Genomic DNA, 27371 nt, shown 5'->3' on the forward strand with positions numbered 1-27371 from the left:
TCGTTGAGCAGTGGTTTGTAGTTCTCCTTCAAAAAAATCAATGAATCCAGGAGCTGGTTTTTTGAAAAGATCAACAAAATTGATAGACCAATAGCAAGACTAATAAAGAAGAAAAGAAAGAAGAATCAAATAGATGCAATAAACAATGATAAAGGGGATATCACCACCAATCCCACAGAAATACAAACTACCGTCAGAGAACACTATAAAAACCTCTACGCAAATAACCTGAAAATCTAGAAGAAATGGATAAATTCCTGGACACATACACCCTCCCAAGACTAAACCAAGAAGAAGTTGAATCCCTGAATAGACCAATAACAGGCTCTGAAATTGAGACAATTATCAATAGCCTACCAACCAAAAAATGTCCAGGACCAGCTGGATTCACAGCTGAATTCTATCAGAGGTACAAGGAGGAGCTGGTACCATTCCTTCTGAAACTATTCCAATCAATAAAAAAAGAGGGAATCTTCTCTAACTCATTTTATGAGGACATCATCATCCTGGTACCAAAGCCTGGCAGAGACACAACAAAGAAAGAGAATTTTAGACCAATATACCAGATGAATATCGATGCAAAAATCCTCAATAAAATACCAGCAAACCGAATCCAGCAGCACATCAAAAAGCTTATTCACCACGATCAAGTGGGCTTCATCCCTGGGATGCAAGGCTGATTCAACATGCACAAATCAATAAACGTAATCCATCATATAAACACAACCAAAGACAAAAGCCACATGATTTTCTCAACAGATGCAGAAAAAGCCTTCGACAAAATTCAACAGTCCTTCACGCTAAAAACTCTCAATAAACTAGGTATTGATGGGATGAATCTCAAAATAAGAGCTATTTATGACAAACCCACGGCCACTATCATACTGAATAGGCAAAAACTGGAAGCATTCCCTTTGAAAACTGGCACAAGACATGGATGCCCTCTTTCACCACTCCTATTCAACATAGTATTGGAAGTTCTGACCAGGACAGTCAGGCAGGAGAAAGAAATAAAGAGTATTCAATTAGGAAAAGAGGAAGTCAAATTGTCCCTGTTTGCAGATGATATGATTGTATATTTAGAAAACCCCATTGTCTCAGGGAAAAATCTTAAGCTGTTAAGGAACTTCAGCAAAGTCTCAGGATACAAAATCAATGTGCAAAAATCACAAGCATTCTTATACACCAATAACAGACAAACAGAGAGCCAAATAATGAGTGAACTCCCATTCACAATTGCTTCAAAGAGAATAAAATACCTAGGAATCCAACTTACAAGGGATGCGAGGGCTGATATTTTCTATTCTAGATGAAAGAATACTTCTCAGGCATCTGATGACCAAAATACAGGGAAAAAGTTATGATGATGGTGGTGGAGTGTTCTGCTACAGGCATTTGGGAACCTCACAGAACTCTTAATATTCACTTTTAATTCATTCCACCAGGGAGGAAGGGCATGGGGTTTGGAGCCATTCATATATGGTTTCAAAATCTGACTGACATTTATCTCTGTAAGAACTTGAGAAATTTACTTAATCTCTCTGAGATTTGGTATATTTAGAATGAGGGTGATACTGACAGTACCTACATCATGAGTGTTACTTGAATGGAGATGTATAAAGTGCATTTTAAATTCATTTGTTCCCTTAACATTTTTCTTTCACTTATTAACTTTTTAGGTTTCTTCTTGAAGGGCTCAAGGAATGAAGCATCCCACAAAATGATCCTGCTGAATAATTGCCAGATGCTGCTGGCCCTGTACGAATCCCTGGCCGTGAGCATTCCTGAGTCCCTGAAGGTGAGGGGGCAGTGGGAGAGTCAGATGGCTTTGTGCATGTTTCTTTACTTTTCTGTGCCTTTACCTTTGGTCTTTTCATCAATGAAATGGGAATAATATTAGCACCTACCTCTTAAAATTGTTGTGAACACTGAATAAATCCATACAATGTAAGTGCTAAGAGCATTGACAAGTGCCAAGCTAGTGCACAGTAGCTCTTTGGTATCACAAGGACACCTATCTGTGAGTTCTGCCTGCTTGCTGGTAACTTCACGTCCATCAGTATGGTCCTGGAGATGCTGCTCATCTCACCATTACTGACTTAGTCCCAGTACTGTCTTTTGACCTCCGTTTTTCTCTTCCTCTTCACATCCAGATCCCCATCTCTAGGGATCTCAACCTCTCCTAGTCCTTTCCATCTCTCCTTCATATATATGGCTGTGTGTATCACATCAATCATAGGAACCCCTTCAACATGGAGGTGCTGGTGGACTCCTGGCCCGAGTATCAGATAGTTATTATCCAACCACCAAAACAGGTAGGCACACAAACAGGGACTAGTGGAGCCAGGCAGGCCCAAAGGGCCTGAGGAACTGACCATTTCAGACACCAGGGCTGCTTTTATAGGGTGAAAGGAAACGTGAGTATTTTAAAACACTCCTTCAGTACTTGGCACCTTGCATGAGTGCCACATGTTCCCACCCTTTCTGTAAAGCACAGGACTCTTCTGGGAAAAGGGGTGGAGGGGGAAGGGGAGGAAAAGGACAAGGCTGACACTCACAGATTAAGGGCCCTTTGAGGTGGCAGGGGTCACCTGCAGGGGCTGAAAGGAGGCCAATTTACAGGAAAAGTTCGGTGTCTGAGATATTAGAACAGTGGCTTAGAAACAAAAACCAAGGCAGATGTCTACCAGTAAAATTACCTCTCAGGGCCAAGCATGGTGTCTTCTACCTGTAATCCCAGCACTTTGGGAGGCCAAGGCAGGAGGATCACTTGAGTCCAGGAGTTTGAGACCAGCCTGTGCAACATAGTGAGACCTCATCTCTACAGAAAATAAACAAAATTAGCAGGGCATGGTGGTACATGTTTATACTCCTAGCTACTCAGGAGGCTGAGGTGGGAGGATGGCTTGAGCCCCAGGAGGTCGAGGTTGCATTGAGCCAAGATCACACCACTGTACTGAAGCCTAGGCAACAGAGTGGGATCCTGTCTTAAAAAAAAATGTTATTTCTCAGGAATCAGGGAAGGGACTCAACGACTCATAATTACTGTGTGTCAACTATATGGAAGCACGTCTTTTGTTAGTGGATGTCATCAACAGAACACTCTTATTAAGTGACCATTAATATTTCCAATTTAGAGATGAGGAAATGACACTGAGAAATATTAAATCACATAGCTGCTGGATACCAGATATTAAGGCATTGTCCAATCTGAATTCAAGTTCATTGCACTCTGCCAGTTTTATTAGCTATATAACCATAGGCCCTTCTCTGAGTTTCATCATCTGTTAAAATGGGAAAAATAAGAGGATCTTCTTCAGAGGATTACACAAGGTTTAAATGAGATACTGTATGTTAAACACTTAGTACATAGCACATAATTTTAAATAGTATCTACCAGAATTGGCCATTGTTGGCTGAGGACATACAAGGAATACATGATTAAGCTGAAATAGTAATACAAACCTAGGTCTATTTTTTTGTCCTAAAGACTCCCCCTTTTTTGTGTGTGTTTTATGCATATCTGGTTAGTGAACTGAAGCCTCATGGCCAGCCCAGCTTCATGTGGGTATAGACACTGAGCCTCCAAATAATAATAAGCCACCCCAGGTCAAGACTAGTTTGCACATTGGGTCAGGATTGGGATGCAGAAAGCGACAAAATGACCCTAGCTTGAGGAACAAAGGGGTAAAGGGGATGGGAACCAGGCTGAGCCTAACACCTTCCCTAGGGATGTTTGTTTGATCTCCTGGCTTCCTGATAATTTGGGATCAAAGGTTAATGCTTAGTTTATTTAATCCATGGTCCAATTTCTTAAAAGTGTGATATTCTAAATAATTGTAGGAGGTCAAGTAGTTCTTTTTATTTCAGTAACTTTGTAGTTATTATGTGTATTTTACCAACGTAACTATAGCACCAAACCATAACTTCACATATGCATTGCTTTGAACAAGGCTAGTTTTTATAAAGTTAGTCAATAAACAAAAATATGAAAATATAAAAGTTGAATGCCACACATATATGACCAAAGAAATGGAAATAATGAAATATACTGCAATTTACTTGGAAATACATTCATCTAGTCTGATTCCATAGTATACCACGTTTCTTTCAGTATTGAAAGTCAATTCAATTTTGAGTAAAACTTTTCAGGGTGGGATGCAGGAGAATTTATATAGAAAAAAAGTAACTTTTTCTTAATTGGTTTTTAATCTCAAAGATAATATATGCTGATTATACAAGTGGAAAAATCCAACATGATTTTAAGAAGTTAATAACTTCTCTCCTCCCCCTCCTCTCCTCTCCTCCTTTTCTACCCCTTGGGGTAATCAGTGTCCTTGCCCATATTAACACACAAAGGGATAATCACTGATGATCTCTTCTGTCATCACTTTTTAATTTGCCTTTCACATATGGACATCCCTTCGGGTGAATCAATGCAGCATTAACATATTCATTTTAATAACTGTGGCATTCCATAGAGTCAATGCAATGCTATTTAGGCAGTCATTCTCTTGCTGTTGGGTTCAAATTGTTCATACTTCTTTGCCACTAAAAACAATGCTTCAATAAACATCCTTGTATACATGTCTTTACATCCTGGAAACTTTTCTCAATACAATTGATTTCCAAAAGGGATATCTCCAAGTCAGAGTTTACCTTATCCTAAGTAGGCACTGCCAGATTATCTTCTCAAAGGATTCCACAGTTTTATTTCCATTAGCAATGTGTGGAAGAATTGTTTCCTCACATTCTCACCAGCACTGAATGTTGTCCCTTTTCAATTTATGCCAAACTGGTGGGTGAAAGATGGCATCTTATTGTAGATTTAATTTGCATTTCCCTATTAATATTCAACATATTATATTTTCATATGTTTATCAGTCATTTGGGGTTTACTTCTGAACTGTTTATGTTGTTTGACCATTTTTACACTGGGGTTTTGTGTCATTCTTAAAATTCTGTAAGTGTTTTGGATACTAGGGATACTAACACAAGGTGTATGCTACAAATTTGTTGCCCAATTTAGAATTATTTTCTACTTGATTGATGGAGATTTTGACATGAAGAAATTTTGAATTTTCATGTAATCAAATGTATTATCTTTTTCACTATGTCCTCTGAGTTTTTGTTTTTTTTATTAATAATTAGGAAGATTTTTCCTACTCCAAGATCATACAAGTGTTTTCTTATTTAATCTTACAGTGAGTTAATTTTTACTTTTGACATATCAATATTCATTCTACTTGGAATATATTTTTGAATAGCATGAATTAACATTCTTTTATACTTTTCTTCCTTATGGCTGGCTAATTACATTAGTACTATTTATTAAGTGATTCCACTACTGAAACATAAATCTCTATTTTGTCATATAACATGTTTATATATTTTTGTATCTATTTCTGTATTTGTTTCTAGTCTTTTCTCATGCTATTTCATTGTTTTTGTGATAAATTTTAATATCTAATAAAGCAAATCACCCTTCACCAAGGGGAGAGTTCACCATTGTACATTATGCAATATATGTACATTATGCAATGTATGCAATTGCATACATTGTACATTATGCAATGTACACAATTGCATAATGTACAACCTAAGAAAGTTTTTCTTACTTTCCTTTTTCTTATAAATTTAAGAACTATATGAACATCAAGTAATTTTTCCAGTTCCCCACCAACTACCCCAACTAACTATTGCAATTGTGATTGTTGTTGGAGGAGCTTTTTTAGACAATTGTGGAAGGATTAATTTTTTTGTGATACTAAATCTTTTCATCTACAAATATGCTCTTTTTTTTCACTTTTTTCAGTTTTTGTTCTATGCCATCTGGCAAAATTTTATTGTTTTCCTGTGGTAAACTATGTGATTTTCCATTAAGTTTACCCTTAAGTATTTTATACTATTTGTGAAGAATATTAAATTATTTTTCCATTTCTATTTCTGAGCATTATTATTTTGTTATTGCTTTTTATTTATATTCTTGATTTCCAAATATGTCACACTGTTCTTTAAAACCTGTTTTTTTGTGTGTGTGGGGGTGTTATTTGTTTTTGTGTTTTTTCAAAGTCTCTTGGATTTTCTAAACACGTAATACTGTACTCTGCAAACAAAGTAATTTGCTGCTTCTTTGCCAATATTTATATGGGTTTTTAGTTTCTTGCCTTATTGCATAATGTACAACCTAAGAAAACAATATCAACTAACAAAAATAATAGTTCTATTCTTGTCTCATTCCTGATTTTAATGAAATAGCTGTAACAACTTACATCTGAATTACATTTGATTCTGTCTTTACAGGTTTAGAGCATTTTCCTCTTGTTCCTACATTCATAGAACTTATATTTAGAATGGAGGGTAAATTTTATCTTATTTCATTTTTGTCTTTTTTTTTGGCAATTTATATAGTCATGAAATTTTTCCTCCTTTAATTTATTACACTAAAAGATCTTCCGATCAAAGCCATTCTGGCCTTTCTAAAACAAACTGTTCATGTTCACATCCTTTTGATATACTACCGAATATTTTATTCAGAATTTTTGTATCTGTATTCATAAGGGAATATGGGCAATAATTCTCTTTTTGTTATTTCCTTGCCAGATTTGGCATTAGGAGCTTTTCATCTGTTACCAAAGTCTAGTATTAAAATTATGTGTTTGTTTTTGGCTTATGTAGAATTTAAATATAAAATAATCTGATTTTGGCTACTTTTTATTTTTTAATTTCAACTTTCCTTTTAGATACAGGGGTTACATGTGCAGATTTGTTACATGGGAATATTACACGTTGATGAGTCTTGGAGTACGGACAGATCTCATCACCCTGGTAGTGAGCATATACCCAATAGTTAGTTTTCTAACCCAGCCCCTTTCCCTCCACCCTCTAGTAGTCCACAGTGTCTATTGTTCCTACATTTATGTCCATGTATGGTCAAAGCTTAGTTCCCAGTTATGAGTGAGAACATGTGATATTTAGTTTTCTGTTACAGCATTAATTTGCTTAGGATTATTGCACTGTGGAAAGTAGTCTGGAAATTTCTTAGAGAACTTAAAACAGAGTTACCATTTAACCCAGCAATGCCATTACTAGGTAAATAGCCAAAAGAAAATGACTCAATCTACCAAAATGACACATCCTGTTGTATGTTCATTGCTGCACTGTTCACAATAGGAAAGAAATGAAATCAACCGAGGTGCCCATCAATAGTAGATTGGATTAAAAAAATACTTGGTACATATATTCCTATGGAATACCATGCAGCAATAGAAAAGAATAAAATATTGTTCTTTGTAGCAATATGGATGGAGCAGGAGGCCATAATACTTGTCCACTTTTTAAAGGGTAGATATTTCATTTAATTTCCAATATTTTCTATTAGTTTGTTGAGGTTTTCTGTTTTTTTGAAAGTCAATTTTGATAGTTTATTCTTGAGGGATAACATCCATTTCTTTTATCAGTAAATATGTTGCCTTGGAGTAGTATATAATCTTCTATTATAATTATTTTTTTCTTTTCTCTGTTTCCGTTCTCATCTCTCATACTCTGTGCTTATTTTTTTATTTTTGCTTTTTCCTTTTTCTCTTGTATTTCCTTAAAATGACTTACCAGAAGTATGTCCCTCTCTCTCTTCTTCTCTCTCTCTTTTGCCATTTAAAAATGAACTTTTGGCTTTATATATCCTTTGCACTATGTCTTGTTCTCCATTTCATTATTTATAGCTTTCATTTTTATAAATAGCTCCATTTGTTTTTTACTAGTTTACTTTGATATTCTTTTTATAATTCTTTGAATATTTACTTGGCCATTTTCGGTCACTCCTTTAAAATTGAGTCTTTTAAAACATCTACTCTTTTAAATTCACTGAGATTTTGGTTTTGGCCATATTCAGGAACTTGCATTTATAAAAGCACCCTCAAATTCTTGAAGGTTTCTTTAAAATTAGTTACACCATTTTTTCTTTTACTCTTTAACAACACAATTTCCAACATAATATTAATACATTCACTGCTAAACCTCTCACACTTATTGTTTATATTTCCCCTGAGAAACACATACTGATCTTGCCATGAAGTTTGTGGCTTACCAGAATGGGATCACAAGTCTCTTTCTTTCAAACCCATGAGTCTAACACTACATAAATTACCCAGAATGCTACCAAAAATTTAGTTACTTCGTTCTATTTTGTGGGCTTCTGGCTGTAAAGACATTGTCACTATTTGAGTAGGCTGATATCCTGTAGCCTTGGGAAAAGGCAATGTCTCATTAATGTTGGTATTCACTAAAGTATCTTGCCCAAGCCCTGGATGGACAGATCCCATCACACTGGTAGTGAGCATAGTACCCAATAAGTAGTTTTCTAACCCAGCCCCTTTCCCTCCACCCTCTAGGACACTACAGATTCTAGGTGTCTGGTGAAACAGTAGGCACTAAAAATTAGAGAAATCACAGTTAAATTTACTTTGAGCCAAGTTTAAAAATTTAATCCTAGCAACACAGACTCAGTATAACCCAGAATGTGTCCCACAGGAGGTTACGTGGGGCACAGTATATATAACAGGGGATATGTGTGGCCCAAGAGGTGAGAGAAGCAGGGAGAGAAGCAATTGTTGCAATCTTGATTGTGCTGGGTGCTCGGTGATGCTGTATATAAAATAAGGTAAATGTGCAGTTGAGTGGGTAGAAAGAAAGGTGAGGCATCTTAAGGCCTGGTGGAGGGTGACTAATTTCATCCTGTCTTTGTTCTTTATCTAATAAGTAGGTTTATAACCAGTATCTGTCAGTGAAACATTTAACAAACTCCAGTTACACAGGCAAGTGGTCAGCAGTAGCTTATAGGCCTAGGTTTTATTATCCATGTGCCCAACTGCAGCCATCGTAGGCCACTGTTAAAATTTTCTTTTGAATTTTCATTTTTCTGATAATTGCAATCAGTGGGAGGTGAAGAAAAAGTTCAAGGGAATGATCTGATCTTTCACCATCCTATACAGGATATGACTGACAACATGGATTCTTACACAAATGTATATCATATATTCTCCAAAGCTCCTCAAAAATCACAAGAAGTTTTGAAAAATTGTGAAATCATAAACTGGAAACAGATACTCCCTTGGAGGAGTCTGAAGAAATGGGCTAGCAGTAGTGCTTCTCAAATTGAGTCTTCAGCTAATACCATTAGCATCCATTCATTCATTCATTAGTTGAATTAGCATTCAACTAATACCATTAGCAATATCATTACATTGGGAATGTAAATTCACAGAAACTCTGGGGGATGGGAGAGGTAGAACAATCTGTGGTGTGACAAGGACTCCATCTGATTGTGGTGTAAACTCAAGTCTGAGAATTATTAAGCATTGATGATTAATCATGTGGGAGCAGTGTAAGTCGAGAACATCACGTCTGACAATATTGCTTTCTTGCCTTTCTTCCCAGGTCTTCAAGAAAGTTTAGGTGAGGGGATAAGAGCAGCTGCATTTTCAAAGTCAGTGAAGGTAGAGCATTCAAGAGCATTCCTCTGTATTATGGAAGATATCCTGAAGCTCAATGCCTGCAATAAAAGCAAGCTTGGAAGTAGGGATGAGATAGGCCACCCAGATGATGAATTTGAGAGGTACAAAAACAGGTGCTTATCATTTATAATTGCTATTCCTTGTACTTTTTTGTAATTCACATTAATCAGTTTTGGAATAAAGAGAGGATGAATTCCTTTCTTGTGATGAATAAAGGTTGTCAATGGTCAAAATACGCAACTTTGCAATGGTAGGTCTTCAAACAAGAGGAGTGCCTGGGATCTCTTCTTTTTGTTTTCTATAGTAAAACTCCCAATTTTAAATATGCCAAGCTGGGTGTCTCTTATTCTGGGCTGGTAAATGACAACTGGAGGCGAGGGAAGAATGAGAGGAGCCTTCCTTACATCAAGCGCTGCATAGGAGCCATGCCAGCAGCCTGTATCCTGGGTCCACAGGGGGCCCTGGTCTCATGGATAACCATGGACTCTTCTTGTGAAGTAGGAATGGCCTACAGCATGAAAAAATACCGAAGGAGAGGCAACATAACATAGGTGAACATGAGATTCACGAAATATCTGCGTCATAAGAATATTCCATTTTACCTCTCTGTGCTGGAGGTAAATAAAGGCACCCACACATTTCTGGTGAAGGTCGGTTCCTTTGTGGCCACCTGTGAGTGGCACCAATGGACCTGCTACCCACAGAATCTAGTTCCATTTTAGACAATGAAGGTGCTTTTCAATCTTGGGCAAGCCACCTCTTAATATTAAAGCAGACACCACTGAATAGCTTTCTTCACTTACAAATGTTGATTGAGCATTTATTATATGCCAGGAACTATTCTCACATGGAGACTTGATGTTAAAAAACACAGCCATGCTATTGAGGAACTTACAATCCAGGCTGGAGGTGGGAAGCAGGGGATATAGTCTTTGAATATGCATAAGTGTTGTAGGGAAGGAAGGGGTTACCAGTAAACATGTAACTAGAAAGCCAGGCTCAGTTCTTACCTCTGGGAATCAGAACTCTTTATGAAACTTGGATGATAGAATCTACTATCTGGAAGATAAATGAAGGACTTTAATAAAATTGTCAATAAAGTACACCTAATCTATATGGATACTTTATTTTAAATAAATACCCCTGTTTATGGATTTATGAGGCAATGGCTCATAAATGGAATCAGCCTCTTATTTTAGTGACTAGCTAGGTATTAAAGTTAAAGCCTAAGACAAATGGCTTTCCTAGGCTACCTTTCATCATTGTTATGCAGAAAAGAATCTCCAGAGAATCAAGTGGGCTGGCCTTGTGGCCTCTGCTATGGAAATGACACTTGTTGTGCCTCCTTTCTCCTACTCTTTCTTACTTCCTCGTCATTAGTGAAGCACAGCACAGGGCAAGGTGTTGCCTGCAAGTATGGTTATAAGTTCAGCGCTTGGTGTTTGCAGCACTGCTATCTTAAGGGGTCAGGGGCATTCCTGGGAGAAGTGACTACTAAGGTGAGGACTGGAGAGTGAGTAGGAGTGAGCCAGATAAAAAAAGCAGAAAATTCAGATGATGGAAAGGACACGTGCCAAGCACTATCATAAGAACTTTCTAATTAAATACTTATATTACAATTCTGAATCCCTGATCTTAAAAAAGAATTACACTTCACGAACAAAATGTGGCTTCCTTTGGCTCTGCTCTGTCACCCTGCCATTGGAACTTGGATTACTGTGAACATTGCAGCTATAGCAAAAAAAAAAAAAAAAAGCATTTTCATTCTTTCTGATAATCTAGATTTAAAAAAACAAAGGAAATCTTAATGGAGTTGGCTTTGGGAGTAAAGTCTACCAGTATTAACCAACACCTATCCTCATCTCTCCATAAAAAGTAAGCCTCCACAAAATTGAATGTTTATATTTGATGTGATTTTAAAGTGTGCAGTTCCAGCAATTAAGGAATTGTGTAGGTCATGGAGCTTTAAAAAAAACTCCAATTCATCTTAGAAGGCTGTGGTAGATCTGTTACATCTTAGTATGAATTGGACAAATCAGATTTCTAAACTAAGACCTGGCTGATTTGGTACATTGACTGAAATGAAAGCATGGTCTGAAAAAGAGAAGAAACATGTCATTTGGAATTTCAAAGGGTGGAAAATTCTTACGTAAAAAATAAACTCGGGAACTTGGGGTAATGTGAAAACAGCTATATTTTTCACTCAACATGCAAAAGCTAATACAGATAATACAGATGACAAAAGAAGACAAAGCGAATAAAATTTGCCTGTTTCAAAATGGTGCCTCGGGCAGGTCCTGTATCCAGAAGAGGATGTTCATCCAGGGTGTGGGACTCAGGTCATCTTAGCACTGTCCAGCTGGCAGCTTCCCTCCTCTGTCCCTTCCCTGAATGCAAGCCAGCTTCCCTTACGTAGCACTTCATGGCCCTGTTACGATAGTGATTCCCAAACCTTAACATGCACTTGGATTAGAAAAACAACAAGAAAGCGTGGGAAAGAGGAAGGAGGATTTTTTAAATAGAGCACAAGGTAAGTCCAAAATTATCAGTAAACACAATACAAATGAATGGGGTAATTTTCTTATTAAAATATATGTTTTTCACATTGAGTTAAAAACAAAGTCCAAGAAGCATGCATTAATCTGGCCATCATAACAAAATTTCATAGACTGAGTGGCTTACACAACAGAAATTGATTTCTCACTTTTCTGGAACCTGGGAAGGGACATGACAAAGATCTAGCAAGGTAAGTTTCCTTCTCATTCCTCTTTTCTCAGCTTGTTGATGGCTGCAATCTCAGAGTGCTGGCATCTTGTCTCTAAGTCTAGAGGCTCCTGGTCCCCATCATGATCATCACCTATCAGGGGCCAGCACTGCTGATATAGAAGCTAAAAAGAAATCATTTAGGCAGTTAATGTGGGTAAGGGAGTTTTCGGTAAGATTTTTCTTTTAATAAAAAACCAGCCCCCATATAATTCATTTTCTAACCAAAATCAGCCTGAAAAATCAAGCCTCAAGCATAGATAAGCAAGCCAAAAGCTTGCATAAGTAAATGCCGGCACCTATGCCAATAGAAAAGGGATACCTGGAAGCCAGGCATATTCAACATGGAGGTTTCCTCTTTTTTTTTTTTTTGAAGGAGTCTGGCTCTGTCACCCAGGCTGGAATGCAGTGGCACGATCTCGGCTCACTGCAGACTCTGCCTCCCAGGTTCAAGCAATTCTTTGCCTCAGCCTCCTGAGTAGCTGGGATTACAGGCGCCCACCACCACGCCTGGCTAATTTGTTTCATATTTTTTTAGTAGGATGGGGTTTCACCAACTTGGCCAGGCTTGTCTTGAACTTCTGACCTTGTGATCCACCCTCCGCGGCCTCCGAAAGTGCGAGTATTACAGGCATGAGCTACCGCACCTGGCCTCCTCTTTTCTTTTCTGTCTTCACCTGTGCAGGCGACATGGCACCTGCCAGGTAGAGACCCCATCTGCATAATAAAAGTTTGGGGTGGAATGGCCAGCCTCTTCATGCATCACCTAAATGGCACACCTGGCACAACCAATCCTCTGAGCCCTATGTAAATCAGACACTGCCTCCTCAAGCTCATCTATAAAACTAACCGCAACTCGCCCCAAACCCGGAAACCTGCTCAGATACCCTTTCAATGCACGAGGAAACTCTTCATTCTTTTGCCTATTAAACTTCCACTCTTAAACCCACTCCTTTTGCGTCCACATCTTCAATTTCCATAGTGTGAGACAACAAACTTCTGACATTTCCCTAGACAAATGATGCTGCTTCCCTGCCATCTCTAGCCCAAGTGCCAAATGGCATCTTGTCACTTTAGCCTGATGAATGCCACGGCTGCCACCATGCTGCTTAGGACAAACAAGGACACAAAGATGGAGTAGGGACGGGTTTATTAGAGAGGCTGCAATAAAAGCATATCCTAGGCAACTTTCCACTTCTTAACTTCTGTCGTTTTCAAACTTAAACGTGTTTGTTTTGTTTTGTTTTTATTTTAACGGTTTCTATTTTGGCCCAGACTGCTCTTTGTTTTCCTGCTATGACATATTTACTGTTTTTTCTAAAGTCTTTTCCAACGTTTCATATAGGAATTAAGAAGACAGATATGTGTTTGGTCCACACCTTGATCCCCTCTCCACCTAGAATTCTCTTTACTCTTTCTCCAAGGAAGATTCCACCTCCTGTTCTGCCAGTTCCCTCATATTTGCCTCATACAGTTGCCCTTGTAGGCAGATGAACCCGGGCCAGTTTTACTTTACTATGGACACTAACTCCTCTGAAATAACATCTGAGTCTTGGGATTTGCATATGAAACTTCCCTTGACACAGCAAACAGTCTTTCCTTTTACCTTCAGTAAAGGCATCCACTTGGGAGAATGGACAGCACTAAAATTCCACAGATTTCAAAACCAAACCTGCTGTGCCTTTCTAGAGTCCTTGGAATGAAGAAGAGAAAGTAGGTTAGAAGGGATGATTTCCTCCTTCCTTCCTCACCCTGAAGGAGCTCCCATTTTTAAAGGAAAAAATTGGGGACAGTCCAAAAGAAACTCTTATAAATCAAGCCTTGCCATGCCACCATGAGAAGGGTAACCTGCATGCCCAGGGGTGAAATTTTTATATTTTTGTAATGATGTCCAAGGTCACCCCTGTGGATAACAAAAATATTTAAAAACCTATAAGGGTGCCAACCTTTTAGAACTGTGTGTCTTCACAAGGACCTACCAAGGCCTAGAGATCACAGCACCCCACTAGCAGCCATCTCCAAAGGCTTCCCACCTGCCCCAACCAACACACACACGGACGCACACACACACATAAATGCACACACACACACATCCTCCTGCTATCCTTTGGCCCTAGATCTCACCTAACTTTATTCTAAATCTTGATCTCCCTGTGCCCCCAAACTCATGTGTTATAGGGCCTTGGTAATCCCTTTGTAAGCATATTCCCTGACTTCATAAAAACTATTTATGAAACATATATCTAAGGTAAAACTTTTCATTTCATGCTAGATCAGCACTCTTCTTATTACAGTTACAAACACTGAACTTTTTAGTTGCTTGGAAAATATATTGAAAAGGAATTATTATTCTTGTATAGCCATAGATTATCCCTGGAAAAGTATTGATTGCCTAGAAAATGAGTGAAAATTGTTTCCCCATATACATTTTTTTCTTTTGAAAAGGATATCCTGTATATATTCAAGAGATACTGCTTTTTAAAAGAGGAAATTGCCTCCACTATGGAGTCTTATTAATTCACTTATCCATCAAGTTCTCTTATTAACTTAATTATCCATAATATTCCCTTAGTAATTTTTATTCAATCACTAGTATTTGTTTCTAATGCTCATAATTGAACACAAATTTCTTTACTATTATATAAAATAAAGTACCAGTTATTCTCCATTTTCTCCTGTACCCCAATAAGACGACATCTTCCAATAGATTCATTTCCCTGTTCTGCTGCCTCCTCACATCCAGATGAGTGTGCTAAGTGAGACAAATGTTTTTATTCTTCTACCATTCATCCCCCTGAGACCAATCTCTGGCTGTTTTAGTTCCAGATGGTCAGAATTTCCCTTGCAGTGTGTCTCTTCTATTTAAAGAACCCTTCTTTAAAGCTTTTATTACACTTCCTGGAGAGCCTAACATTGTCCATTTAGAGTTAACTTTCTACATAAAATTGGCCAGATTGTTTTTAACTCACTATTGTTTCCTCTTTTTTTTTTTTTTATCTGCTCTTATCTGAGATCTCTGTTCCTATTTGATTAGTTAAAATTCTTTCTCTAGGCCGGGTGCAGTGACTGACGCCTGTAATCCCAGCACTTTCGGAGACCGAGGCGGGCAGATCACGAAGGTCAGGAGATCGAGACCATCCTGGCTAACACTGGGAAACCCCGCCTCTACTAAAAATACAAAAAATTAGCCGGGCGTTGTGGGATGCCTGTAGTCCCAGTTACTCCGGAGGCTCAGGCAGGAGAATGGCGTGAACCTGGGAGGTGGAGCTTGCAGTGAGCCGAGATCGCGCCACTGCACTTCAACCTGGGCGACAGTGCAAGACTCCATCTTAAAAAAAATAAAATAAAATTCTTTCTCCAATATTTCCTGGATGTAAATATGCTACTGATATAATATGTGAAGACTTTCAAAACCACAAATATATTTATTTGACCCTCAGAAGAATATAATTTCTGCAGCCTTATAAATACGCAAATATTTTTTCTTTTACACTCAGGGGACTGATGCCCTATGAATCCACATTTTAGGATGACCAAATTTAATTTTTTCCATTTTATACATAAGGAAACTGAGGTGCAAAGAAAGAAGGTAACCTTGAACCTTCATTCAAGGTCACAAAGCTAATAAGAAGTGGATGACTAGCGATGAGGGCTTCAGGTTGAGATTAACAACCAACATCACAGGATATAATAGGGTTCAACCCAACTTCAAGTTCATAAAATGAATGGACATTCCCTGATCTTCCCTCCACTCCCACCCCCACCTCAGGGGATTTCAGGATGTACAGGGCAAAGCTGTCTCCCTCCACTCCCAACCGTTTCTCAGTCAGTGTGGGGTGTTAAGAACTCCTCACTGCCCCTCTTGAAGCTTACATTCTGGAGCAGGGAGGCAGAAACTAAACCAAAAATTAAAAAAACAAAAACAGTAAACATATTTCCTATAAACTCAGGTGTAGTATATGAAAAACAACACATGATTTGACGACAGAAGATGATGGAGGGAGAAAGAACAACAAATAAATAGGAAAAGAGGCCTCAGATACGAGCAGACAAAAAGGAGAGGAAACAGGAAGGGGTTAGGACGGGCCTCCACAAAAGACTGGCATTTGACAGACAGCTGCAGAAAGAAGGAACAGAGCCAAGCACATACCAGCGGGTTAGGGTTGCAGTCTGAGAAAGCACTCCAGGAATCACCCAAGATGGTCCACTAGGGTGAACAAAGGACATACTTGAACCAGCATTTAGATTCATCTTCATCTAAAAAATAAGAAATTAAGTGTGCCTAATATTTATTTAACATGTTAATTACAACAGAATATATATATATACACACACATACATATATAGTTGATGCTCAATTTGTTAAAAATTTGGTATGTAAAATTAAAGCTCAGAGATTACTCTTGCGTACGGCAATAAGCTCCTGAAAGGCAAGGATAGATTTCACCCCTCTCTGTATTTTCAGAGTCCATCGAATTGTGTGGAACAAAATAGGTATCAGTAGTATTTTGGGGGGTGGGGGGAGATCGAAACCATGCGGAGCACCGGAATTCTGTGTAAATCATTTAAAAAAACCTCCTCTGCTTTACAGCAGAGTCCCTTTTCTTTTGTATTTTTAGTTGCAACTAGCCCCATGCCTTGTAGATGACCCCTAAGAAATGAATGAGTGAATGAACGCGTGGACAGCAGGATGGATCAGTGAGTGAGGAGCAGTGATTCGCAGGACATGCATGCATTGAAATCCTGACAAAGCAGCCTCTGCAAAATAAGAGACCTTAGGCTTTGGTGTCTGACAGAAGATAAAATTATTCAAGGGCTGTCCTTGGGCAACTTAGTTGAGGTTTCCTAATCTATGAAACAGAAAATGATTAAATAGAAAGACGATTGCGAAAAAACCTATGGAAGGTGCGAAAGCAGGATGCCTGGCATTGAGAGACGCTTCACACCTGTTATCTCTCTCCCTATTCTCTCTCCACTCCTACTCCCGCCCGGCAGCTCCCCGCTGTCAGCACCAGAAATACCCGCTAAGAATACGAAAAGCAACGCTGGCCTTACACCGTGACGCTTTTAAAAACTCTAAAAACCCAGCGTGACGGGGGGTAGGTTTGCCTAAAGACAGGTGAGGCAGCCTTAGTTAACTGAGAAGGTTAATTGACAAAGAGGGTTGAGCCACTATGAGCCGAAGCAACCTTGGACTAACAGGTGTATCTTCAGCCAACACATGTCCCAGCATCTCCCACGCCCATCCCTCCATTTAGCACCCAAAATGCAGCCTCCTAAGAGAATGGGAAGCTTGGGGGGGTGGTCAGCTTTGGCTTTCATGGAAGCTACCATTGGCTTTCATTGATGTCAACCCATTAAGGGAATCTTCGAGTCCAAGAACGGAAGCTACCATTGGCCTTAATCTTCACCTCCCGCTTTTCTTCCCTGCTTCTTTTCTCCTCCCTATTCCAGTAGGTTAGTTCTCTGGCGCCATCAGCTGGCAGCACGCGGGAATATACCAAACGCGGAAACGCGCCTTCGCCTGCCCTGAGTAACTGCAAATCCAGGGCTGAGTGAGGTATTTAAGCGCTTGGCTTGTGTACTCAGGACGGTGCTAAAAGGGGGCTGCCTGCGCGGATCCTTTTCCCACAAGATGCAAGTAAAAAAGCACCGCTGACGCCCTGGGAGGGTCACAGAGAGACAGGCGGGGCGGTTGACCAGCTGAACGGACTCACTTCTAAGAAATGCAAATTACCGAGCCACAGTCCAACCAAAGGTATCAAAACAGGATCTCTACCGATGGAGCTCAGCGATATGTGTTTTGACCAGCTCACAATAAGATTTTCATGCATCATACATTTTGCTTGAGTTTCTCAGGTAGTTATGTTGATGTCCGGATTTGTTAAAAGCTGCAGATTACTGGGCCTCACCCCAGACCTATTGAACTTAAATATATTTGGGTTCCCAGAATCCCCATTAAAACAAACAAACAAACAAACAAAACACCTATCCAAGTGATACGGTTGAACTTTAAAGTAAAGAGAATCACAAACTGGCAGATCTCTTTAATTTATACTTAGGGAATGGAGACTTCCCCCACCCCCACCAAGAGGGAAAGGAATTTGCTCAAGGTCTCCCTGCAAGATCCTAAGAAAACGTGAAGCTCTAAGGTTAAAATCCTACCTGACAGCCTTTCCCTCCCCCAACTAGTCCTGTGACCTCTAGCAAATTATCCTGTCCTAATCTGTGAAATGGGATCAACAGTCACACCTACCTCAATGGGTGACTGTGAACATCAAAAGAGACCAAAATGAGTCAACTACCAAGCACTGCCCCACTGGAGGTAGACATTGAACTAAATCTTGATCACTCTACCCCCCATTCATCTCCGAGTACCACTGTATGAGGATGGAAGTGAAGTCACCCAGCCACATGTTGGTCCCAAACCATGTAAACCTCTACACACAGCTCAGTGAATATTTCTTTACTTGAAGAGAGAGAGAGGCTCCTTGGAGCCTCTGGAGTCTGGAGGTGGATGTTACCATCCCCATGAGTGCATTGTCTTCCTAAGATAGGATGGACTACGGGGTCTATATGGGAAGTGTTAGCTGCCAGTACTTCAAGGCTGGCTCCTAAGCTGTTGCTGGAGGCTTAGAGACCCCATTTCAGCTATCTATCAATAGGGGCAGGTTGTTAGCAGGAGTGAGTGAGGTGAGCCCACTATGAACCCACAGGAGGACAGGAAAAAAACCATCTCATCTAAGCTTTCACATACCCCATTGCAAGCTCCATTATGTGGTGCCCAGGCCCTTATGTCTGACACATCCCCAGAAGCCAATTCTCCTCAGTCCTTCCTGCCACTTCTGCCATTGTACATCCAGACAGTTCCACTCTTTTCTTCTGTCAAACTCCTACTCATCTCTCATCCATCAAGTCCAAATATAAATCTCATTCTCTGTGATATACTCCCAAGGTAGAGGCAGTGGTGCCTTCCTCTGTATTCCCAGAACATGTTGTTTGCAACTCTAAATACAGACATCAGCCTACTGTTAGAGTTTAGAAGCATCTTTTAGGGGTTCATGAAGGAATCCCTTTCCATAAACACTGGCCTTACTCCCTAACTTCACCAGACCTGGCCTTAGTGCTTGATCCATTCCCACCTCACCCGACCATGTGAGGGCTTTTCTTCTTTGTGGGTTTGACTACCACAAAATGACCCAACGACCAGTTACTTGGCCAAAAGTATTCTCATCACATTTATAATAAAATCCAGCCAACAAGATGCTTTCTGCCAAGGGAATGTTCTTTTTCAGGGCAAACACTCTGTCCTCAGGGATGCTGGACAACTTCCACAGCCCCATGTAAGCATTAGCTGAAAGTGAGGCTTCCTTGGTGGCTCAACAGATTCCCTGAGCATCCCTACCCTGTCACTGATATCAAATTGCAGTGGATTGCATCCAAGCTCTCAGACCATAGCTGCAAAAGGAAAATCAAAGCTAGAGCTCTACTCTGGACCTATAGCTCTAGGTAGTTAGTTTCTCTGTGAGGGTCACTTTTATACTTAAGGAAGAAATGGAAGATTGGTACTAAAAATGACGTCAGGTTACTTATTCCAATTGTGTGGTTCAGCTGTTACTCCAATGATGAGCAAATGAAGAGGAATTAGAAGCATAGCTATTCCTAGGCTCAAGGAGCAGGGAAGCTCTGGAATTGGTGTACAGCAGTGCTGCTTGGAGTACCATTACAAAGGGACAAGAGTGGTTCAAGGGGAGGTAAAATACAGGGCACCTAAGACACAGGGAATCTGGGAAACAAGGCAGGATTTTGTATTTATCATTTGCCATGATCTCTCTCTGTGAACTTTCTTCTCCCTTTTAATTTTCCCTGTACTTTAATTATATTTCTCAGGCCTGGTGCAGTGGCTCATATCTGTAACCACAGCACATTGGAAGGCTGAGGCAAGCAGAGCACCTGAGGTCAGGAGTTCGACCCCAGACTTGCCAACATGGTGAAACTCCATCTCTATTAAAAATACAAAAAGTATCCGGGCGTGGTGACAGGCACTTGTAATACCAGCTGCTCAGGAGGCTGAGGCATGAGAATCACCTAAACCCAGGAGGTTGAGCTTACAGTGAACTGAGATTGTAACACTGCACTCCAGCCTGGGCAATAAAACAAGACTCTGTCTCAAAAAACAAAATAAAATAAAATAAAATAATTCTCAGTTAATGGCCAACATTACCATCATAAGTCCTAGTTTCCCTCTCTTTCTCCTTTTGTGTGTCTTTTATTTTGATCTATGCTCTTCTCTCCCAAGTTCAGCCTCTTGCCCCTTCTTAAGGCTCTCTGGGCATTCACCCGCATGTGTTGAGTGTCCACTTCTCTCCTTATTTTTCAGTTGGAGTGGATTAGTATCTCCAAGTCAATATATCAAAAGTAGAATTACTGACACACTCATCACTCCTGGCACACACAGCATCTCCTTCCTCAGACTTCCCCATATCACTTAATGCAGACTTTATCTTTCTAGTTGCTCAAGTCAAAAGCCCAAGAATCATATTGAGCTCTCTTTTTCTCTTATTTATGGAAAACCCCATTCACAAGCCAATTCCATGGGCTCGCCCTTCAAAATAAATGTGGAATTCAGCATTTTCTAACACCTCCACCATTACCGTCTGAGGCTGGGCTCCGACATCTTTGCAATCCTGGGATATACTCTTAGCCATCTTCTCCCTTCCACACCTCCTATTGTCCTCCTAGAGTTTGTCCCCCACGCAGCTGCCAGAGAGATTTTTAAAAATATGTCAGGTTATATTACTCCTTGCTACAAATCCTCCATTTAAAATAAATTTCATATTTATAACAAAATCCAGACTTCTTCATATGGCCGACCAGGTGCTTTATGCTAATGGAATGTGCAGATGCTCCTCCCTAAGGAGCACTTTTTTCCAGGGAAAATTCTCTATCTCCAGTGATGTCAGAAACTTTCGACAATACTATTCTCTACCACCTCTTGCTTTTAACAGCTTTTTTCCTCCAGATTCTACAATGAAAAGAAGATCAAGTCTCCTTGTGCAATGATTTACTCTCCGATGCATATTAGTGCCAGTCATGTGCACTGCTTTCAGATGATTCAAGAATAACAGCGATTTGAGAAAGCTGTCTTTACGTTTTTCTCTTCCCTGTTTCTGTTTGATATTATTTTTACAATTACACTTCTAAAGTTTGCTCTTTCCAAACACCACAAGACCCGTGTAATTTAAGTGATTTCAGGAGTCTCTGTGTATTTTACATTAAGTTCAGAAACATGCTCATGATTCCACCAAAACTATCAACTTTTACATAAACATCTGTCCTTCTATGAGTTACAAAATAATTTTCACCATCATCTATTAATCCACCATCTTCTCCCCTTCTTTGACCAACTTCTCAAAAATAACACTCAATACTGAAGGCATCTCCTTCTATTCATGTTCTTAGACAGTAAGACGTTCTGTTCTTAAACAGTAAGATGTTTTCTCAAGCCCCATGCAAAGCACTTACTTGATTATCACTTTGGAGATACCCAACTCTGGAGTCTTCATCCGAAGGGTAAAGTTCCACACCCAGTAATGCGCCTCCTGGGAAACAGGCCTAAATACTCTTCATCTGAGGGGTAAAGTTCCGCACCCAGTAATGCGCGTCCTGGGAAACAGGCCTAAGCAGTGCTGGCCCCTTCCTCGTCCAGACTGGCATTGTCTGTGTTCGCCAGCCCCTCCACGAAGTTGGATCATTTGCGGAGCAGGCCAAGTCCCTCTAGACCTCACGCAGACGCGGGTGCAGCCTGCTCTGCGACTTGCAGTCAGCTGGAAGCTGGGCCTCTGCATCATCAGGGTGGAGCTCTCTCTGCTGCTGCCGCTGGATCCCGCCTGGATGCACGTCCCGCCACCGCCGCCGACCCATCAGCGGCAGAAGGGCAGCAATGGCCACACACCGAAGCACCTTGGCGGGCTATTCCCCTTGCAGCTCTCCTCAGCGCGCTGCTCCCACTCGCAATCAAAAGGCGGAAAAAGCGCGAAACCGCCAGGCATCTCCCATACCCACCCGGCTGCCGCGCAACCCCTCCTTGGCTTCCACTGGGAGACAGGGGACGCCGATGAGCAGGAAGAAGCAGGGCAGTGACTGCTTAGTTTATCCTGGTACGCGGGAACTGGCTGTGGACCGAGTGGTTCGGGGGAGGGGATCGCTGGGACCGGGATGGGTCATCTGGACAAATAGGGAGGGTGGGCGGGTGGGCGCGCAGTCCCCTCGGCCTGGCCGTCTGACCCGCCCGCGAGCGCGTGCGCCCAGGCGTGCACTCTCATCCCTTTTCCTCTCTTCAATCACTGTCTGGAGTGATGCGAATTAGCTTCCAAAGTGGATGAGAGGATGAATCATTTCCATCCAATGAGAGAAAACAGCCTCCAGAGACTCTTCGTCCATTGGCCAGCGAGAGTGTCAATTCCCAGGCTCCCTCCCGCGCGCCAGCCTGCTCTTCCAGGCGGGAAAAGTTCAGCTTAGACAGGCAAGAGAGAAGTCTTCCCAACACCTGCGAATCGGGAGCAGCGGGCACTAGCACGTGCACTGTCTGGTCAGGCTCGCCGGTTCTTTGAGTGGTTTTTCTGGTTCTGGGTCGGACCCGGAGTTAGGTGGATGGCCGGCAGGGGCAGTAGACAGAAGGATCTCAGCCCAAAACCAAGGAGGTTTTGGATGGGGAGCTGGGCCCCGCCCGTTGTGGTAATTCCCTTCCTGCCTCTCAGCTTCAAAGGCCAAGAGTGTTACTCCTGAAAAGATACATGGAGATCGTCTGGGTGTTCCTGAATCTCAAGAGTGTCGTTTGACCCTGGTGGATCCTTTCCTTCCCTGGTGCCCTTTGCACCCATAGAATGAGACCAGGTTCGGTTAAGCAGAGCAGAAACTTTATTCACTGATCAGGGAATGGAACAGGAGAGCTCCTGTTCAAAGTTCCTGGGGTGTAGTGAGGGGGTGCTTTTTAAGGTCTTTTAGGACTCCTAGGTGGAGACTGAGGACAAGGATTCCTGGAAAGAGGTGGGGCTTTCCAGGAAGACCTGAATGTGGCAGTCTCATTCTTTCTGTTGCACCACAGCACTACATGTGCCTAGCAAGGTGCATTTCTCCCCGGGGCAGAGATTTAGGTATGGTAATTAGCAAAGATTCATGTTAGGGTAGCGCTGCTGAGCTCTTTCCCATCTTGTAGCACGGTGGTTACTGACATCCAGCCTTTGTTTCTGTAAGCAAGCACAGCTGCAAGCACAGGTTACCTTCATAGGTTCTGGAGTTTTAGGAAAGCATTGAGGTCATTCTGTGGCCACATAGACGGTTGTTTAAACAACGCGGTGCTCATTTGAGGCGGGGGTTGTGGGATGAGGCAGGTAAAAGTGCAGATTCCATAGCTACACCCCGACATACTGAATCAGAGTCTGTGAAGGTGGGATGTGGAATCCTTTTTTAAAAAGCTCAGAGGAGCCAATTCACAGGAACAATAAAAGGTTGATCTGAGCCAAACTCCTTAATTTAGAAATGAGGAAATGGGGATCCCTAACAGAGGTACAGGGAGAGGGTTGGAGGAAAGTTACACCATAATAGTTTTAGGGTGGTTCTTTCCTGGCCTTGGAAAGTTTTCTCAGCCGGGGCTCTGATCAGTACACAGTTGAATACTTTAGGGGAAACCTCTTCATATATCCTGAGTTTTCTGTCTCTCTCTCTCTGCCTCTGCAGGTCACCCGCCAGGTTTGTGGCCTGTGATCTCTTGTCACCTTGGTCTCTCAGCTTTGTCTTCTGAAATCTGGACTTCCAATTGTCTTTGTCTTGCTGCCCTTCCTTGCGACACTGGCCTGGAATCCCTCACGGTAGTCTGCTGGAGTGGAATTTAGGACGCATCTCAGTTGTCACCATCTTTAATTGCATGATGTCTAGTTCCTTGCAAACCATTATTTCATGTATTTCGCTCTTTTTTGTTTGTTTTGTTTTGTTTTGTTTTCAGGCTAGGGGAAAATCCAGTCCCTGTTACTCCATTTTGGCCAGAAATTCAAGGTAATGACTTTTAATGTTCCTGACTACTAGTTCTATCATCTCTCTCACTTCTGGATCTGTCTCTATTCACTGATGTTTCTAGTCATTGTGGGTCATATTTTTTCCACGTTTTAAATACTTCCTGATTTTTGACTAGATATCAAGCTTTGTTAATTTCACAACTTTGGGTGCCAAAAATTTTTACATTCCTATCAATATTCTTGAGCTTTGTTCCAGTACGTTGTTATTTTACATGGAAACCATTTCATACTTTCAAAGCTTGCATTTATTTGTTAGGTGGGACCAGAACAAGGGCTAATGTTGTCCCACTATGGAAGCAATACTTTCTGAGTAGTCTCCCTGATACTTCATGAATTATGAAGTTTTCTAGTCGGATTTTGGGGAACTGAAACCATTTTCTGTCCTGTATGAGCCTCAGAAATTGTTACATCTGCTCCTTTCCGATAGTTCTTTTCCTGTTCCTTTTCAACAGTTTCATTATACTCATGCATTGACCAAGCTGAAATCTCAAGGGTTGCCCACTGCACATCTCTGATCCTCTGTGCTCCTGTGGCGCTCTTCATCCTAGTACTCTGCCATACAGGCTCCAGTCATCTTGGCCTCCCACAACTCCCAGCTTGTCTTCTCAACTCAGGGAAACTGCCAGGTTCTGCCTGTTTCCCCTCCCTGAGATATGCCTTGGAAATGCCATACAGTAAGCTAGATAGCCATAGGGGTTACCGCATATGATTTTCTTCTCAGATATCAGAGATGAGATCCCACACAGCCTGATGTCCAGTGTTTGAAAGTGGTTATTTCATAGATCTTGTTTTTTTGTTTTTTTAGACATTTAAGGTGGCAGAATAAATTCAATCCTTGGTTCTCCATTTTTTCCACTAGTAGAAGTTAGTTATATTGTCTTTGAACTCATCATGAATTCCATGAAGACTGAAGGGAACAAGTCATTTAGTGCTACAGAGGATGACCAGAGGGCTAGACCTGAAGTTTCAAAGGCATATCTACTTTTTTACAACTCCTCACTGGAGAGATAGTCTAACCGTGGTGCCAATTCAGATTCTTGGAGATAAATTCCTAAAGAATAATAGTTATAAGTCCTTATCTTAGGCTGTTTAAAATATATTTGGGGAGCTCATACACATAAGTGCTTGTGTAAAGCAAAATGATAGGGTATGAGTTAACAATGATAAACATGTCTTAAGACAACAAGATGAGTAACAAACAATATGGACACTTAAAATCATGGAAAGTACACACAGGCAAAAATAATTAGCTAATGTTTCCTGAGGAAACACTGTGTGCCTAGAATTGTGTTCCATCATTTGAATTATCTCATTTAACACTTAATATTATTATGCAGTAGGTAATATTATCATCCTTATTTTCCAAAAAAGAAACTGAAGCTCAGCTTCCTTATAGTTGCAGAAATAACGAACTTCAGAGCAAGGATCTGAACCCAGGCCATCAGACTGCAGAGGCTGGTTTTTGACCCACACTATTTTGTTCAAAATATGGAAAATGATAATACTAAATTGAGACATAAACAAGTGATTTTAGAGTACAGAGAGAAGAATTCTTAATTCAGACTTAAGAAATTAAAGCAGTGTCATATGAGACAGATCCTAATGAATAATAAATCTAAAATTGTCAAACTCATAGATGTAGAAGTGGTTGTCAGGGGCTGGGAAGAGAGGAAAACAGAGGTATTAGTCAAGGGGTACAGAGTTTCCTTATACAAGGTGAATAAGTTCTCAAGATCTGTACAGCATGGTGCCTATAGTTAACAATATTGTATACTTAAATTATTGCTAAAATGATAGATCTTATGTTAAGTGTTCTTATTACAAAAGTAATAAATGAGGGCAGAATGGATGAGACTTTTGGAGGTGATAGATAGGTTGATGTCATAGATTCTGGTGATAATGTATCTCCACACTCATCAAGTTGCATACATTAATTATGTACATTAGTTACGCATTCTGTATGTCTAAAACTAATTTATTCTTTTAAAAGAATGAATAACATTTCACTTGTGTATCAAGGATGAAGGAATGGCCTGAATAAAGTCATGTACACGTGAAAATATATTTGGCGAATAAGACAGCTGCATTTGATGGTATATAAGGAGAATTCAATAATGTAGTAGGCAAATAATGCTTTCTAGACTGGTAAGGTAGTGTGGTGCCAAGATCTCAGAAGGCTTTCTATCAATAAGAGCTCTCCATATTGCTGGTAAAAATATTTTCTAATAATGAAACAATAAAATGGATTCATTTGTTCACATGAGTGGATATTCCAGAATTCAGCAGAGCTCTTAATTCAGTTTTATACAATTTCTTCAACGGCTTGTTTGTGTGTTCGGTCTCTATGTTCTGCTTTTCATATTATTCCCTGGCTGGCTTCCTGCATAGTGGCAAACAGAGCTGCAGTAATATCAGATGTTTTATTCTCCCAATAATGAGTCTATCCTGGTTTTCTAAGGAAACTTCTCTTGCCATCTAATTGTCCCAACTTAAGTAGCTCACCCATTCCTGCACAAAACCCTGTGACTGAGAGGGCACTTACAGATATTCTTAAACTGGCATGAATTTATTTCCATACATTATGGCTCCTAAAAAGTGGGAGAGGGGTAGAATAGCTTTCTGGAAAATAGCTGCAGTATCTTTTCCTTCTTTGAATTCCATGTGTAGGTTTCTGGATTTTCTTCTGTAAATAAAGGAGACGTGTTTACAGACTTTATCTTTGTATTGCTTAGGAGGAGTTCTTCAACTCACTTTAGACTTTGTTAAGTTAAATATTAATGATAAAATGCCTAGGCTATTTTGTTCAAGACAGTTGCCATAATCACATGTGATTATTTAAATTAAACTTAACTAAAATCAAATAATGAAAAAGGTGAATAATACAAATTCTCATTTGCACTAATCACATATCAAATACTTAAGAAATACATGTGGCTGTGGTATTAGACAATACAGATGTAGAACATTTCCATCACTGCAGATATGCTATTAGGTAGTACTAGTCTACGGCATCCACTTATAG

The 27371-nt window shown here is 40.3% G+C and overlaps 2 protein-coding genes and 1 pseudogene across 5 annotated transcripts in view, besides 1 other annotated feature; 2 read left to right on the forward strand and 1 right to left on the reverse strand.

The window, feature by feature from the left end:
* GLYATL2 (glycine-N-acyltransferase like 2) overlaps positions 1 to 26602 on the reverse strand; it is a 75764-nt gene extending 49162 nt beyond the window's left edge. Inside the window, exon 1 of the mRNA XM_017017338.3 lies at positions 21801 to 26602. The gene's annotated coding sequence lies outside the window, so the exon portion shown is untranslated. The remainder of the gene's footprint in view (positions 1 to 21800) is intronic.
* On the forward strand, positions 1680 to 10422 carry GLYATL1P2 (glycine-N-acyltransferase like 1 pseudogene 2; annotated as a pseudogene).
* Positions 22158 to 22657: an enhancer, noted in NCBI's record as "H3K4me1 hESC enhancer chr11:58672857-58673356 (GRCh37/hg19 assembly coordinates)". NCBI's record gives its function as "activates a minimal SCP1, AML or CMV promoter by ChIP-STARR-seq in naive H9 embryonic stem cells {active_cell/tissue: H9 hESC(naive)}" and the evidence as "EXISTENCE:reporter gene assay evidence [ECO:0000049][PMID:30033119]".
* GLYATL1 (glycine-N-acyltransferase like 1) overlaps positions 22255 to 27371 on the forward strand; it is a 50926-nt gene continuing 45809 nt past the window's right edge. For 2 of the 4 annotated variants that reach the window (NM_001389714.2, NM_001389718.2), the window contains exon 1: positions 22255 to 22435. The gene's annotated coding sequence lies outside the window, so the exon portion shown is untranslated. Of the gene's footprint in view, positions 22436 to 22794; positions 22867 to 24014; positions 24330 to 27371 lie in introns of those variants that run through there. The other 2 variants (NM_001354699.4, NM_001389717.2) reach the window with 2 other exon arrangements.

This window comes from Homo sapiens, chromosome 11, assembly GCF_000001405.40.
Source record: "Homo sapiens chromosome 11, GRCh38.p14 Primary Assembly".
NCBI lineage: Eukaryota > Metazoa > Chordata > Mammalia > Primates > Hominidae > Homo > Homo sapiens.